This window comes from Homo sapiens, chromosome 1 (assembly GCF_000001405.40).
Source record: "Homo sapiens chromosome 1, GRCh38.p14 Primary Assembly".
NCBI classification, from domain to species: domain Eukaryota; kingdom Metazoa; phylum Chordata; class Mammalia; order Primates; family Hominidae; genus Homo; species Homo sapiens.
The window spans coordinates 113796595-113813215 of record NC_000001.11 but is presented as its reverse complement, the minus strand read 5'-3'; the positions used below and the strand labels follow the sequence as shown (position 1 = coordinate 113813215).

Here is a 16621-nt window from a genome sequence, read left to right as displayed (position 1 = left end):
ACAACTATCCGTAGTGAGCAGTGATGATTTTTGGTGTGTTCTCCGGTAGGCACACTTTTCAAATTTATGCAATCTTATCCTTAAGATTTGAAAAAAAAAAACTTATAAAAAATCTTAAACGTGGTTTTCCATCTACAATTTTTCGCAACTGTAGGGATATATTCAAAATAAATGCTGGACATTTCCAGGCATTAGAGGGGATGTGGCCGGATGGCGAGGAGGGGCCGTCCTCACCAGGACTCCAAGCAGTTCTCGCACCTGACTTCGTAGGCCTGTAGTTGTAACCATAGCAATGCCCCAGATGCTTGAAAACATTTCTGAATTGCGGCCCTATCATATTTTTACAGCAAAACCACCCTTATTTTACATATTACTAAATCCTCTTTTCACCTTCATTTCATCCCTCGTCAAAGTTAAAAGGATGAAGATTCTTTTATCTCACAAAGGTTATGAGAGAAATATTAAATTTAAAATCACTGTGGAGACCACCTCCTCCGTGTAAAATGAGGAAGGGTCACAGGAAGATGATAATGGGAACGCGCCGCCAGACTCTGAAAGCCATTAACATTGTTTCGGCCGTTAGGGCGGTTGGCGGCAACTCACCGCCCAGCGGCGGTTGCGTCGCAGCCAGAAGCGTGACTTCGCGCACGCTCCCTTTCCACTCCTCCACTCAGAGCCGGGGACGCGGCGGGGGCGCGGCGGAACTACAGCTCCCATGACGCTTTGCGCGGCATAGGGTGCTTTACAATAGAAGCTCGGTTGGAGAGGCCTGCGGAGAAAAGCTGGGAACGGCCGCTTCCGGCATGTTCATCTCTGGACGAAGAACGGCCGACAAGTGGAGGGCGGAGGAGAGACTCCAATGCCCAGCGGGCAGTGCGCGGGCGGCGCTTGCGCGATGCGCGGACGGGGGGGCGGTCGGGCCATTTAAATGTGTGTTTGTGGGTGAAATGGCTGCGCAGGTCGGAGCGGTGCGCGTAGTACGGGCGGTGGCGGCGCAGGAGGAGCCGGACAAAGAGGGGAAGGAGAAACCTCATGCTGGGGTCTCCCCGCGGGGAGTTAAACGGCAGCGCCGATCTAGCAGTGGGGGGTCTCAGGAGAAGCGGGGGCGGCCGAGCCAGGAGCCCCCTCTCGCTCCCCCTCACCGGCGGCGTCGCAGCCGCCAACATCCTGGGCCGCTGCCGCCAACGAATGCAGCCCCAACTGTCCCAGGCCCTGTTGAGCCTCTTCTCCTGCCGCCTCCGCCGCCACCTTCGCTGGCACCCGCCGGGCCCGCTGTCGCTGCCCCTCTCCCGGCCCCAAGCACCTCGGCCCTCTTCACCTTCTCGCCTCTGACGGTGAGCGCGGCCGGGCCCAAGCATAAGGGCCACAAGGAGCGGCACAAGCACCATCACCACCGCGGCCCCGATGGTGATCCCAGCTCCTGCGGAACCGATCTCAAGCACAAGGACAAGCAGGAAAACGGCGAGAGGACTGGAGGGGTGCCTCTGATCAAAGCCCCCAAGAGAGGTGAGAGCAGGCAAACTGCCCGGCTTGGGTTCTAGGTCTCTCTCAGTTCCGATATCCCGCATCTTTAGGACTGAAAGACGCCAAACCCCTGCTTACCTTCTGCTGCTGTACTTCTCTAAGCTCACTGGGGTGGACCCTGGATTTCAGATCGTTGACACGGTTTGATCTAACTACTTGAGGCTTCTCGCTCCGAGGCCGAGCTGTCAGTTGCTAATCCCTTTACCGGTCCCCCGGAGCCTCTCAGCATTTGTTTTCAAATTCTGCAAGGTTTCCGCGCCGCGTTAGATTAGTAGGTGGGGTACTAAAAAATGCCTTTCCAAAGAAAAGGCATGTTCCTAAAATCCCTTCTCCTTGTTTTGCTTGCTGGAGAGCTTTAGTTATCTGCTCTCCCTTGCTCCAGAATAGTCAGGGGTATGGTTCCAGTCTTTCAGGAGGGAATTCATATAAAGGTTACACGACTCACTGGTTGACTTAGCTTCTGCAAGGTAAAATATCAGACGCAGTTTATCTTGGTTCTTTTTAATCTAGAGGTAAAAATCATTTTAAAGTTTTCATATTAGCTATTTAAATTCTTAGAATAGGCATGTGGAAGGTTTTCTCTACCCTTTGATACTAGGAAATAGGACCAACAGTGCCTCTGAAAAGTGGGAATTTGTGCAGTAGATAGTAGAGGCCGGAATTTCAGTTGCATTTGATTCTGTCTAGCACACTTTGTGGATCTGTTAATTCCAATAGCCCTCAAGAATATTTTACTAGAAAATGTCAGAGTATCCAATTAAATGTGGATTCTAGAAAAATTAGATTGGCCAGAACTGATGTCTTCCTGTTCCCAAGTACCTGTAGCATTTATTTATATTCTTTGTGGAAGAAATGTGATGCTTTTGATTATGCCGTATGTTTGTACTTTATATATTATTTTATATAATTTACTAGTTGTTTTTCCTCAGGAATATTTGAAATACTTGTTTCTTAGTACTGGACCAGTTAGGTTATTACATGTTAATGAGACAATCTTTCAACCTAAAGTTTTGTGAGTCTTGCATTCTTTCCACGTATTGAGTCTTAAGGCTAATCATTTTTTTTGGTGGTGCTATTTCCGAATACTGTAGTTCGTTGCAAATAATTGCTCAATAAGTATTTATTGAATAGCATTAAATTTTTATTCATTTGGTGGCATCCAAATCTTGGGAGTAGAACTTGTGGCAAGATGACAGGACTGCCAGTTTTCACCACCAATATGCAATGATCTTGCTCTCTTTTTATTTTTACTTTTATTCCCTACTTTCTCATTTCTTGTGTGTGTGTGTGTGTGTGTGTGTGTGTGTTTTAACTGTACAGAACTAGAGGGAATTAGTGATCCTCTGGCTTAAATTTGTATTGTAGAAAAGGAAACTGAGGCCCAAAGTAGTAAAGAGGCCTGTTCAATCAAATCACAGTTAATTCGCATGAAGTGCAAAAAAATTAAATATTTTTTAAAAAGGTGAATATTGGCATAACAGGCAGTAGAACCCAGGCTCCTGAATCCTGCTTCAAGCTTCATCTCCAGGCTTCATGATGTTGCTTTCTCTTCCTGCTATTCATTTTTTCCACTCCTTTGTTTACCTTTTCCCTGTGCTTTGACATTACAGTGGCTTTATATCATCGAGGATCTCTGACCTGGCCCCGTTTTATGGGGGATAGTGGCAATAACATGTGTAATAATTTACAATCTTTCTCTGAAGATTGCACAGGCCCCATGTTCTTTAAAAAACACACTTCTGACCTAATGCTGACTGATAGAACTTTCTCAGATGATGGAAATTTTCTGTATTTGTGCTGACCAATATGGTAGCCGTATGTGGTTCCTGAACAGACTTGAAATGTGGCATGATTGAGGAACTGAAATTTTGATTTTATTTAATTCTAATTAATTTATAATTAGTCACATATGGCTAGTGGCTACCACACTGGACAACACCACTCTAAATATCTGTAGTTTGCCAACATGTGAAGAAGAGAAGTGGGTTAAGATAAGCCCATTTAAACATTTTAACTTTTGGCTGAGAGATTGTTGGATTATATACCCAAACTATATTTTGGGTGAAAAAGAATTTTTTGGTCAAATACATTTGAGAAAAACTGTGTACTGTAGCCTTCTACATATGTAACATGAATTGGCAAACTGGCATTTTAAAAGTTTTGAAAACCCTACAGAAAATAAACTGGTTTAACTTTGTTTAATCCAGGCTTTTGCACATAGTTTGACTGATATCTTTTTTGTCCTCTGAACATCTTTATTGTTACAGTGGTATGCAGGAGGCATGCCTCTGGTATTAATCTGAGTTTAAATCATGGCTCTAACACTTACTGTGTGAGCCTGAACAAATTGCTTTACCCTCTCTCAACTGCACTTTTCCTGTCTATAAAATGGGGTTGTGGTATTTCATTTATAAGGAACTTGTGTGGATTAAATAGGGCATTGTGTGAAAGTACTTACAGCAGTGCCTGGCTCATTGTAGGCACTTACTTAAAACCGGCCTTTATTATTTTATTATGCATGGTCCCTAAAACAACTCTAAGATTAATAAGGAGAGTGGGCAGATTCTTGTTACTTACAAAGCTATGTCCTTCCTTCGCTTATCCTCAGATTTTTGGAAACTATTTTAACTGTTTTTTTTTTTTAGATAATTAATGATTCACAGGAAATTGCAAACATAGTCAAGTCCTTACCTTTTACCAGTTTCCCTCAGTGGCTACATCTTACATAACTATTGTATAATATCAACACCAGGAAATTGACATTGGTACAATGTATATGTAGTTATATGCTATTTTATCATATGTAGATTAGTGTAACCACCACTACAATCAAGATACAGAACTGTTCCACCACCACAAACCCTTTACAGCCTTAGGCACTCCCTCTGTCTCTCTACTGTCCCTGTCCTCTGGCAGCCACTAACCTGTTTTGTCATTTTGAGACTATTATATAAGTTGAATCATACAGTATGTGATCTTTGGAGATTGCCCTTTTTCACTCAGTGTGATGTCCCTGAGATCCATCCCTCTTTTTCATTGCCGAATAGTGTTCCATGGTATGGATGTACCATGGTTCACCTATTGAATCATTCCCGTATAAGAAAGGACATTTTGATTATTTCTAGTTTTTGGCTATTATAGATAGAGCTTCTATGAAAATTGGTGTTCAGGTTTTTGTGTGCATGTAACTTTTCATTTCTTTGGTCGTATGGTAAATACAATTAGCCCTCTGTATCCATGGGTTCCACATCAATGGATTCAGCCAACCTGGGATTGAAAATATTTTCAAAAAAACATTGTCTGTACTGGACTTGTGCAGACTTTTTTTTTCTTGTCACTGTTCCCTAAACAATACAGTATAACAATTATTTATATAGCATGTACATTGTATTAGGTATAAATAATCTGGAGATGATTTAAAATATAGGGGAGGATGTGCATAGGTTATAAGCAATTATTATGCCATTTTATATGAAGGACTTGATCATCTTGGATTTTGTTGCCCTGGGAGGCTCTGGAACCAATCCTCCATGGATACCAAGGATGACTATATATATTTATTTTGTTTGTTTGTTTTTTAAGATACTGCCAAAGTATTTTCTGGAGTGTCGGTACCATTTTACATTCCTGTCAGCGGTGTAAGAGAAATCCATTTTCTCCACATTCTTGCCAGTATCTGGTATTGTCACTATTTTTATTTTAGCAATTTTAATAGACGTGTGGTGATACATCATCATGATCTTAATTTGCATTTCCCAAATGGCTAGTGATAATACACATCTTTTCATATCATCATTTGCTGTCTATATATCCTGGTCAGTAAAATGTCTCTTTATACCTTTTGCCTATTTTCTAATTGAATTTTGTGTGTGTGTGTGTGTGTGTGTGTGTATACATATACATATATATATATATATAATTTTTTTTTTTGAGACAGAATTTCACTCTTGTTGCCCAGGCTGGAGAGCAATGGTGCAATCTCGGCTCACTGCAACCTCTGCCTCCCGGGTTCAAGCGATTCTCCTGCCTCAGCCTCCCGAATCGCTGGGATTACAGGTGCCTGCCACCACACCCAGCTACTTTTTTATATTTTTAGTAGAGACGGGGTTTCACTGTGTTGGCCAGGCTGTTCTCGAACTCCTGACCTCAGGTGATCCACCCGCCTCAGCCTCCCAAAGTGCTGGGATTTCAGGCGTGAGCCACTGCGCCCGGCCCTTGAATTGTATATTTTTTATTACTGGGTTTTGATAATTTTTTGTAGATCACAGGTGCAGCTTCTTTGTATGGTTTGCACATATTTTCTCCCAATCTGTTGCTTGTCTTTCCATCCTTTTTGTTTGTTTGCTTGTTTTTATTTTGGTTGTTTTTTTTTTTTTTTGAGATGGATTCTCACTTTGTCACCCAGGCTGGAGTGTAGTAGCACGATCCTGGCTCACTGCAACCTCCACCTCTTGGGTTCAGGCGATTCTCCTATGTCAGCCTCCCGAGTAGCTGTGATTACAGGCATCTGCCACCATGCCCGGCTAATTTTTGTGTTTTTCAGTAGAGACGGGGTTTCGCCATATTGGTCAGGCTGGTCTTGAACTCCTGACCTCAGGTGATCCGCCCGCCTTGGTCTCCCAAAGTGCTGGGATTACAGGCATGAGCCACCACGCCCAGCCTGTTTGTTTTTGTTTTTTTGGGGAGGGTCTCACTCAGTTACCCAGGCTGCAGCACAGTGATGTGATCATGGCTCACTCTAGCCTCAACCTCTGGGGCTCAAGTGATCCTCCCACCTCAACCTCCTGAGTAGCTGAGACCACACGTGTGCACCACCACACCTGGCTAATGTTTTTTTTTTTTTTTTTTTTTTTGATAGAGGCAGGGTCTCTCTGTGTTGTCCAGGCTGGTCTCAAACTCCTGGGCTTAAGTGATCCTCCCGCCTTGGCCTACCAAAGTGTTGGGATTACAGACAGGAGCCACTGTGCCTGGTCCTTTCTACCTTCTCAGTGGGATACTTCACAGAGCAAAAATTTTAAATTTTGTTGATATCCAATTTACTAAGTTTTTTTTTTTCTTTAATGGATCATGTTTTTGGCATCATATCTAACATACCAAGTCCTAGATCCCAAAGATTTTCTCCTTTGTTTTCTTCTAAAAGTTTTATAATTTTAACTTTTGTATTTTAATCTGTCATCCATTTGAGTTAATTTTGTACAGGTGTGAGGTTTAGGTCGCCATTTTTTTTCTTCTTGCCTAAGGATATCCAGTTGCTCTAGCACCTTTTGTTGAAAAGATTAATCTTCCATTGAATTGCTTTTGCACTTTTTTCAAAAATCAGTACAACCTGTAATGTAACAATGATTTTTTTTTTTTTTTTGAGACAGAGTCTCGCTCTGTGCCAGGCTGGAGTGCAGTGGTGTGATCTCAGCTCAGTGCAACCTCCACCTCCTGGGTTCATGGGAATCTTATGCCTCAGCCTCCTGAGTAGCTGGGATTACAGGCGCCCACCACCACACCCAGCTAATTTTGTATTTTTAGTAGAGATGGGGTTTCACCATGTTGGCCAGACTGGTCTCAAACTCCTGACCTCAGGTGATGTGCCTCCCACAAGTGCTGGGATTACAGGCATGAGCCACTGTGCCTGGCCTAACAATGGTTTTTACAATTTAAAATAGTTGGAACGACCTTGTAGCGCATGGAAATCATACGAAATTTAAACTGTGTCCAGAAATAAAGCTTTATTGGAATATAGCTCTGTTCATTCATATATATTGTCTATGGTAGTTTTTGCACTACAGTAGCAGAATACAGTAATTGAGACAGAGACCATAAGACCTGCAAAGCCTGCTGTTCGGCTCTTTAGAGAAGTTTGCCACCCTTGAGTTCACTTAAGAGACATGTTCCTTCCTGCACAGCAGTTCAACAGTATTTAATCTGAATTCATGTGGAGACTAATTACAAATTATTACAATCTCAGACATTTGGAGTTGTTCATAAACAGTTGAAACAAAAATTTAATCTGTAAATGCTAGGGTAAACTTGTTCATCTTTAAAACAGAAAGAAGTGATTTTCAGAGAGATGAAGTGAAATGCTTAAAATTTTTTAGTTGGTGATAGAGCTGAATACAGAACTCAATTTTTTTCCCTCATGGCCCAGTTGACCTCTCTTTCTGCTATGCACACTGGGGTTGATTATTTAACAGAGATATTTAAATGCTGTTTTTATTTCTTATAGGGAATAAGCTTGAGTGTAACTAAACTGGAGGTTACCTATGTGTTTTGAAATCTTAATTTTTTTCTCTCCCTCTTATTGCTCATAAAAACATAGGACAGGCCGGGCGCGGTGGCTCATGCCTGTATTCCCAGACCAAGGTGGGCAAATCACGAGGTCGGGAGTTTGACACCAGCCTAGTCAACATGGTGAAACCCTGTCTCTACGAAAAATACAAAAAATTAGCTGGGCTACTTGGGAGGCTGAGGCAGGAGAATCACTTGAACCTGGAAGGCGGAGGTTGCACTGAGCTGAGATTGCGCCACTTGCATTCCAGCCTGGTCGACAGAGTCAGACTCCGTTTCAAAAAAAAAAATAGGACAAACATACTTCCTTAAAAATCCATGAAAAGAAGTAATGCTTCTTTTTAATTATTCTTAGTAAATTCATGATTTTAATATGTTGTTAAAAAGGAAAGAAAGGAAGGACAGCCCCCATAGGCTGTCTTCTCCAATGTCATTACATGACCGGATTGCTCATATGTATGCTCTTGTGAGTCATCTTTCTTATCTCATTTTTTTTTTTTTTTTTACTCTTGACCAGTTGCCTAACTGCTATCACCGAGTGTAAGTGTTCCTGAGCCAGATGTTTAATGGAAATTTTCTCTCATGTCAAAAAGCAGGGATTTTAAGTCCAGAAACACTTCTTTTTGATGTTAGCAATGGAGAATTATTGGGATTATAAGGGAATTGAAATAAACAATCTTATTTATCAGAACAACAACTGTAGGGACTAATATTTTTCCCTGCTCACCCTGAGAGAGGCAAAAACACCTTTAAGGGCACGAAAACTTTTGAAATGGCACTAAGTAAGATATTTGTTGAAGTAATACTCCCTTTATTCCAAGCTACCTCAGGTCCATTAATTGTAACCAGATAATCTTAGTTGATCATCTAATGGGAGTGTTGCAGGGAGATGTCTGATAGTGGAGGCGGAAAGGAAGAGAGTGTAGGGTGCAGTATGTTAGAAGAATTTGTTTTGGAGTCAGATAGGTGAGAAGTTTGAATCTTGGCTGTTGTGTACTAGCTTTGTGACCTAATATAAATTACATATCTTGTTTCAGGCTGTTTCTTTCTCCGTACTTCATTGGTTTGAGGATTAAAATAAAATAACATATATGGTCCCTATTAGACATTTGGCAAATACGTTTTCTTTCCTCTTTCAGAGATCTTTCTTATGTGTTTCTCTTGATAATCAAGATGATAAGAGACTTATTGTGTGTCACATATTGTGATGAGGGCCTTATAGTCATTGTCTCATTTAATTCTTAAAATAACTCTGTGAGATAGACTCTAGAATTAATAACTTTTTTTTTTTTCTGAGACGGGGTTGCCCAGGCTGGAGTGTAGTGAAGTGATTATAGCTCACTGTAACCTCGAACTCCTGGGCTCAAGCGATCCTCCCACCTCAGCCTGTAGCTAAGCCTAGCTCACTCCTGCAGCTAGGACTACAGGCATGCACCGCCAAGCCCAGCTAACTTTTTTTTTTTTTTTTTTTTTGTAAAAATGGGGTCCTGCTGTGTTGCTCAGGCTGGTCTTGAATTCCTGGACTCTAGCAGTCTTCCTGCCTCAGTCTCCCAAAGTGCTGGGATTACAGGCATGAGGCACTGTACCTGGCCTATTATAACATTTTAAGATGAGAAAATTTAGATTTAAAGAGATTTATGAGCTTACCCAGAGACCTTAGTAAACAATAGAGCTGGGACATTGACTTAGGTCTATCTAACAGTACAGCACCTGTTCTTATCTTAAATAGTACACTCTACTGCCTCTAGAATTCAACTGTTTTTGGCAATAATAGTAGTTATGATGTATTGAGTATTTATTATGTTCTAGGACTATTATAAGTACTTCACATGCGTTTTTCATTTACTCTGCACACTAATTTTATAATGAGATACTGTTCTTTCCTCCGGTTTTACCAATGAGAAGCAGTGCAAAGAATTAACTTGCAAAAAGATATGCTATCTCATTCATTATTGTTGGGAATACAAAATGATACAGCCACTTTGGAAGACAGTTTGGCAGTTTCTTAACAAAACTAAACATACTATACGATCCAGCAGTCATACTCTTTGATATTTACCCCGAGGAGCTGAAAATTTGTGTCCACACAAAAACCTGTAGATAGGTGTTCATAATAGGTTTATTCATAGTTACCAAAACTTGGAAGCAATCAAAATGTCCTTCAGTAGGTAAATGGATAAACTGTGGTACATCCAGACAGTAGAATATTATTCAGTGCTAAAAAGAAATGAGCTATCAAGCCATAAAAAGACATGGAGGAACCTTAAATGCATATTACCAAGTGGAAGAAGCCATCCTGAAAAGGCTGCACATTTTATGATTCCAATTATATGACACTCTGGAAAAGGCAAAACTATCAAGAAAGTTAAAAGATCAGTGGTTGCTAGGGGTTTTAGAGAGGGTTGCATGAATAGGCAGAGCACAGAGCATTTTATAGGACAGTGAAACTACTCTTTATGCAACTTAATTAATGGTGGATACATGTCATACATTTATCCAAACCCTCAGAATGTACAACAAGAGTGAACCTGAATGTAAACCATGGACTGCGGGCAGGCGAATAATGATGCATCAATGTAGACTTATCAGTTGTAACAAGTATTCCACTCTGGCTGGGGGTGATGATAATCAGGGAGACAGACTATGCATTTGTGGGAGCCAGGTGTGGTTATAGTTCTAGGAACCTGAAACTGCTCTAAAAAAAAAAAAGTAAAGGCTTAGGGAAAAAAAAGTTCTAGAAAGTATACTTCTAGAAAGTATACTAGAAAGTTATAGAACAGGGATTTAAACCTAGACAGCGCTCTTAAAACACCATAATATAGAGAGATGGTGGGTAAAGTAAGGCAGTGTTAAAAACATACAATGATTCACAAATGTTTGGCTTTCAAAATGAGTAGTTTTTTGTTTTTCCTTTTTAGTCAGGTATTTATATAGAACTGGAAGAACTCTCAAGAAGACTGAAAATAATTTATTTTCAGGAAACAACTTTAGTCCTTTAAAAAATCATGAATAATAAGATGTAAGCAATTACACTTGTTTTGCTTTTGTTCATCTACTGTGATTTTTACGAACTGAAGATACTACCTTTTTTTTTTTTTTCCGACTTCTAAGCCATAATTAGAGTATAAGAATTGCTGTTAAGACCTTAAGTTTTGTAGGCCGGGCATGGTGGCTTATGCCTGTAATCCCAGCACTTTGGGAGGCCGAGGCGGATAGATCACTTGAGGTCAGGAGTTTGAGACCAGCCTGGCCAACATAGTGAAACCCTGTCTCTACCAAAAAATACAAGAATTAGCTGGGCATGGTGATGTGCACCTGCAGTCCCAGCTACTTGGGAGGCTGAGGTGGGAGAATCACTTGAACTTGGGAGGCAGAGGTTGCAGTGAGCCGAGATTGCGCCACTGCCCTCCAGCCTGGATGAGAGTAAAACCCTATCAAAAAAAAAAAAAGAACTTAATAATATAGAAAGCTGTTTTTTTGCATTAATGAAAACTTTCAATTGTGTGAAATCAGATGACATTAATTGATAATATTGGTAGTATTAGCACATATGAGGATCTTATTAATAACGTCATGTATTAATAGTTACCTTTTTAAAGACAGCCAGCAATTTGTTTCTTAAGTGAATGTATCTTCCTCTGTAGAATTATGTATTTCTCTTTATATGTAATCACACAGTTGGATAGGTGAAAGTTTTTCTTAATCACAGGTATAGTGTAGGTTGGCTCTTTTTCTGTAAAGAACTGTAGTCAATAAATTTTAGCTTTTGCACTATGGGGAAATACTAAAAATGTGCTGAATAGATTCTCTGTTGGAAAGCTAAAACCAGAAATAGAAAAGTTGTGAAGAAGACTTTGGACACTGACTTTCAAATAACGTTTTAAATTCAAGGCAGGGCAATTGTTATTTTTCTCATAAAGCAACAGTGGCCAGTGTTTGATAATAACCTTTGATAACTTGTTTATACATATGCCATTCTCAATTAGTTGCCACCACGGTAATTCAATAATAAATTTTGTTTACTCATGGAGATTTGTTAGCCAGTATGAAATGGGTAGTCTTAAATTTCTCTGTAAAAAAAGTCAAGCTTTCTGTATCTTACCCTAAGTTAGATAAAAGTCAAAAGCTGAGGCCGGGCGTCGTGGCTCACGCTTGTAATCCCAGCACTTTGGGAGGCTGAGGTGGGTGGATCACTTGAGGTCAGGAGTTTGAGACCAGCCTGGCCAACATGGTGAAACCCTGTCTCTACTAAAAATACAAAAAATTAGCCGGGTGTGGTGGTACATGCCTGTGATCCCAGCTACTCAGAAGGCCGAGAGGCAGGAGACTCTCTGGAACCTGGGAGGTGGAGGCTGGAGTGAGCAGAGATCACGCCACTGCACTCCATCCTGGGCAACAGAGAGAGACTCTGTCTCAAAAAAAAAAAAAATTGAAAAACAGGATTAGTGAGAAGATAGATTGAAATTTACTTCATATTTAAAATTTTTATCATGTTGATTTATGAGATTACAATGTAAGATTCTTTTCTTTATACAGTGGTTTTCTCTTTTTTTGTTTTTTTTGTTGTTTTTTTTTGAGATGGGCCATGTTGGACTAATTGAATGGTTTTCATATAAGTGAATTTTGTGAAACTCGTATAAGTGAAACCCACAGAGACTTGACCAAGTTAGAAATACCACTGGAAAGTTGATAGTAATACAGAAAATGTGTTACAATCAACGCAGTTCTTTCTTGGTGCTAATTTCAGTGGCAGATCTAGGTCACAATTCATTTTCTGCATACCAAATACCTCTTCCGAAGCTTAAAATAACAAGATCTATTTGGAGATATTTTCTTTTCTTGTTTTCCTGTGAAATTGCTAAAACATTAATAGAAGAGAGTAATTAGATGACTATTTTTAAATTGGTCTAACCTTTATATTGAATGGCATTAACATTTAGTTGCTTGGGAGAATTGCCTAAATTACTGATTTGATATTGGGGAAAGTATTTAGATGAATTTTATTTGGTAAGAAGTATACTTCTTACCAAATAAATGACTATTACTAAGTGTTTAATTCTCAAATATCTCAAATATTTAGTTGTATATAGAATAAAAGATGACTTTTTCTCTTGCCAGGTTAACAGTATTCTGATTAAATGTAAATTTTGCTATCTTATTACAGTTTAATTACAAGTGATATTTGCAAATAAACGGTTTTCATTTTATTGTTCTTAGAAGGAAATATTATTTGGCATTAGTAAAGTCTTTGACTTGCTTTTTTAAGTATTTTCTTTAGAAGGTTTCGTAACCCTTGTAGTAGCTAATTGACTTGAAGTGATTTTATATGGAGTATTGGAACTGTCATATATTTACATATTGTACCAAGTAAATTCTTAACTCTAAAATTTGTTGAACTTGTTTTTCTAGATGTAAAAATAGGATTAATTGGAATATTTGTCTTAACTCCAAATTACTTCAATTATGTTAGAAAAAACGATTGTTTGGTGGGTAAATTCTATGCAGTAAATACTAGACCAAACTTGAAGGTTCGTCAGGACTCTACCTGGTATTTAATCCTGAAAGTTTCCTGCTAGGTATATTTTCCAATTAGTAAACAAAAGATGCCATTCCATCTTGGGCTTGTCAATCCATGATAATCCTTTAAAACTTAAAAATAAGTTTTTAAATTATAAAAGTAATATGTTTATTTTAGAAAATTAGAAAATACAGATAAGCAGAAAAGCTAGACATTTAGAATTCTACCACCAATAGATAACTACCATTAATAGCTTGGTATATATTTCTCCAGATATTTTTCTGTGTGTGTGTGTGTGTGTGTGTGTGTGTGTGTGTGTGTGTGTGTGTAAAGCATCTATAGATCAGACAGACTTCTTCATCTCTTTAGGTCCTTTTCTTCTTTCTGGGAATATTTTCTCCTAGACCTTTACATGCCTGGCTTGTCTTATTCTTTAGGAATCACTCTTAATGTTACCTCCCCAAAAGAGCTTCCCCCAAACTTAATGCATCCCACTTATCACTATCTGGTACTTTCTTTTTCTTGTACAATTAGATCATAAGACCCAAGAGATGCCAGGCACCATGGGTCACACCTGTAATCCCAGAACTTAGGGAGGTAGAGGCAGGAGTATAGCTTGAGCCCTGCCTGGGCAACATATGGAGACTCCATACTCCTCAAAAAGCGGGGAGAAAAAGATCCAAGAGATTGGGGATTGTGTATGTCCTAGTCAGCATTATGGTCCTAGCACTTAGTAGGTACTTAAATGTTTGGATGAATTAATGTTTATATAAAAATGGGATCAGAATGTACATGTGTTAAGTGCTCAGGAGAGAAAGGTAAGGTATACATCACTGAACTTAGATTGCTGACAGTCTAGGGGAGGGTGTAAAATGAAATGTTAATAACACAGAGTATAAGTGCTGAGATGGGGATACAAAGCTTAAGGGAGCCCATAGCAGGAGTAGCTATCCAGATTGGGTGGGGAAGAAAAGGCTTTCTGAAAGAATGAGTCTAAGCATTTTGTAACCTTCTAATTTTTATGTCAGTTTTTTCATCTATAATATACTTTACAATGGCTGAGTAGTGTTTTATAATATGTAACTACCAGAGTTTAATCAGTCCCCTGTTATTAGACATTTAGGAGCATTCCCTGTTGTGTCGTTTTAAATAATACTGTAATGGATATCTTTATATAATCTTCAATTATTTTCTTAGATAACTTTTACTTGGAAGTGGAATTTCTGGGTCTGAGGATTAGAAATATTTTTTAAGACTTTTAACATGTATCATGAAATTGCCCTTCAGAAAGTTGTACCAGTTTATACTTCCAGCAGTAGTAGTTGAGAATGACCAGAAACCGCAGACTTTGCCAACTTGATAGGAAAAAATGATATCTCATGGCTTACTTTGCCTTTGTTGATTTACCTGTATGTATCATAGTAATTCATAGGCTGACAGCAAAATATGCCTAGCTTAAATTTAAATTTTATGATGATAACTGAACAAAAGAATCTATGTTGTTACATAGATTTCAGAATCATCATATTTAGCTATCGTATAATGTTTCATACCATTGCTATATCATGATTTATTTAACCATTCTCTGTTTTTTGGATGTGTGAATTATTTCTGATTTTTCTCCATTATCAGTAATATACTGCTTTGAAAAATGGATACCTTCAATTTTATTCTTTTCTTCAATCCAGAATATTATTATATTTAAGATCTCTGTCTCATTTGTTTTCTAAACACGTAAGTTGTAATAGCAAATTCAGAGAAATTGAGGATAGGCTATTTAATGAGATCAAGTACCTTAAGAAGCTTGTATGTTGACACTAGTCCTAGCAACTAACTTCTTTTTAATTATTGTGGCCAGAAACACCAGATGAAAATGGTAAAACCCAGAGAGCCGATGATTTTGTCTTGAAGAAAATAAAGAAGAAAAAGAAAAAGAAACACCGAGAAGACATGCGAGGAAGACGCCTTAAAATGTACAATAAGGAAGTACAAACCGTCTGTGCTGGCCTGACCCGCATCAGTAAAGAAATTCTCACCCAAGGACAAATAAATAGCACTTCAGGACTTAATAAGGAGTCCTTCAGGTATCTGAAAGATGAACAGCTGTGCCGATTAAATTTGGGTATGCAAGAATATCGGGTACCCCAGGGAGTACAAACACCTTTTATGACTCACCAGGAACATTCTATTCGTAGAAATTTCTTAAAAACAGGTACTAAATTTAGCAACTTTATTCATGAGGAACACCAGTCCAATGGTGGTGCTCTTGTCCTTCATGCTTACATGGATGAACTCTCATTTTTGTCTCCAATGGAGATGGAGAGATTTTCTGAGGAGTTTCTTGCTTTGACATTCAGTGAAAATGAGAAAAATGCTGCTTACTATGCTTTAGCAATAGTGCATGGAGCGGCTGCTTATCTCCCAGACTTCTTGGACTACTTTGCTTTTAATTTCCCCAACACTCCAGTGAAAATGGAAATTCTGGGCAAGAAAGATATTGAAACAACCACCATTTCAAATTTTCACACTCAGGTAAGATAAAAATTGTTGTTAAAAATTAGTAAATACGATTCTAAACAGAATTAACCTCTTTCTGTCGCACAGCACATACCAGCACATTTTTGATAACAAATTTATGGTAATAAAGGTGCTTCAAATTGTTTGTCTCTTCCTCTAATTGAAAAATCTTAATTACTGAGTTCGGGTGGGGCTTCTTCTTTACTGGAGGGAATGCTTTATACATGTTATACATCATTACAAATCTTTATGGAAAACTAGCTTGAAAACTTACCTGGTCTTTCACAAATCGGGTAATGTTAGTATGGAGGATGTGATTGAGATCTGTTAGTCTCAGGATAACTTTAGTTAAGATTTGCTTTTATATCATAATAAAACACGTGAGGGCATGGGCCTGTTTATATGCCAGGTTTTTGGAGTTTTTATATCTCTTTCAGTAACTTGTTGGCAGTCCATCCCAGAAATATACCCCATTTATGTGACTTGGAAGTGTCATTAGGAAGACCGCCATAGCCTCTGCTCCTTCTGCCTATACATTGTTGTAGGTGAAGACATTTTTTGAAGCCTTGCATGGGCAGCTAGGCTTAAGTCAGCAGGGAAACGTCTGCTTCTTAACCAGTGGTTTTAACCAAACATTTTTTTCAGTGAAGTTATTTTAGGGAATAAGAAGTTAATAATGTGTCCTAGTTTTTTTCTTACTTGCTTTTCTCGTAAGAATTGAATATAAATGGTCAGCTATAAGTTTCTGCAGTATATATTATAAATTCAACTTTAGTGGAGACT

The 16621-nt window shown here is 39.0% G+C and overlaps 1 protein-coding gene and 1 long non-coding RNA gene across 4 annotated transcripts in view, besides 9 other annotated features; one reads left to right on the top strand and one right to left on the bottom strand.

Moving 5' to 3' along the window:
* AP4B1-AS1 (AP4B1 antisense RNA 1) overlaps positions 1–604 on the bottom strand; it is an 88626-nt gene extending 88022 nt beyond the window's left edge. The window contains exon 1 of the long non-coding RNA NR_125965.1: positions 391–604. This is a non-coding gene — a long non-coding RNA (AP4B1 antisense RNA 1). The remainder of the gene's footprint in view (positions 1–390) is intronic.
* Positions 340–869: an enhancer, noted in NCBI's record as "NANOG-H3K27ac hESC enhancer chr1:114354969-114355498 (GRCh37/hg19 assembly coordinates)". NCBI's record gives its function as "activates a minimal SCP1, AML or CMV promoter by ChIP-STARR-seq in naive H9 embryonic stem cells {active_cell/tissue: H9 hESC(naive)}" and the evidence as "EXISTENCE:reporter gene assay evidence [ECO:0000049][PMID:30033119]".
* Positions 340–1399: a biological region, named in NCBI's record as "NANOG-H3K27ac hESC enhancers GRCh37_chr1:114354439-114354968 and GRCh37_chr1:114354969-114355498".
* Positions 606–995: an enhancer, noted in NCBI's record as "active region_1536". NCBI's record gives its function as "activates an Ori minimal core promoter by ATAC-STARR-seq in GM12878 lymphoblastoid cells {active_cell/tissue: GM12878}" and the evidence as "EXISTENCE:reporter gene assay evidence [ECO:0000049][PMID:35858748]".
* RSBN1 (round spermatid basic protein 1) overlaps positions 740–16621 on the top strand; it is a 50645-nt gene continuing 34763 nt past the window's right edge. For all 3 annotated transcript variants that reach the window (NR_130896.2, NM_018364.5, XM_017001518.3), the window contains exons 1-2: positions 740–1506; positions 15180–15853. Coding sequence is in view for 2 of the 3 variants with exons in the window: in NM_018364.5 (NP_060834.2) it covers positions 804–1506; positions 15180–15853 (1377 nt within the window). In the remaining variant the exon portion in view is untranslated. The remainder of the gene's footprint in view (positions 1507–15179; positions 15854–16621) is intronic.
* Positions 870–1399: an enhancer, noted in NCBI's record as "NANOG-H3K27ac hESC enhancer chr1:114354439-114354968 (GRCh37/hg19 assembly coordinates)". NCBI's record gives its function as "activates a minimal SCP1, AML or CMV promoter by ChIP-STARR-seq in naive and primed H9 embryonic stem cells {active_cell/tissue: H9 hESC(naive and primed)}" and the evidence as "EXISTENCE:reporter gene assay evidence [ECO:0000049][PMID:30033119]".
* Positions 1376–1465: an enhancer, noted in NCBI's record as "active region_1535". NCBI's record gives its function as "activates an Ori minimal core promoter by ATAC-STARR-seq in GM12878 lymphoblastoid cells {active_cell/tissue: GM12878}" and the evidence as "EXISTENCE:reporter gene assay evidence [ECO:0000049][PMID:35858748]".
* Positions 1376–1929: a biological region, named in NCBI's record as "H3K27ac hESC enhancer GRCh37_chr1:114353909-114354438".
* Positions 1400–1929: an enhancer, noted in NCBI's record as "H3K27ac hESC enhancer chr1:114353909-114354438 (GRCh37/hg19 assembly coordinates)". NCBI's record gives its function as "activates a minimal SCP1, AML or CMV promoter by ChIP-STARR-seq in primed H9 embryonic stem cells {active_cell/tissue: H9 hESC(primed)}" and the evidence as "EXISTENCE:reporter gene assay evidence [ECO:0000049][PMID:30033119]".
* Positions 1616–1675: an enhancer, noted in NCBI's record as "active region_1534". NCBI's record gives its function as "activates an Ori minimal core promoter by ATAC-STARR-seq in GM12878 lymphoblastoid cells {active_cell/tissue: GM12878}" and the evidence as "EXISTENCE:reporter gene assay evidence [ECO:0000049][PMID:35858748]".
* Positions 8135–8429: an enhancer, noted in NCBI's record as "tiled region #4295; HepG2 Activating non-DNase unmatched - State 6:EnhF, and K562 Activating DNase matched - State 5:Enh". NCBI's record gives its function as "activates a minimal TATA promoter and a strong SV40 promoter by Sharpr-MPRA in HepG2 and K562 cells {active_cell/tissue: HepG2 | K562}" and the evidence as "EXISTENCE:reporter gene assay evidence [ECO:0000049][PMID:27701403]".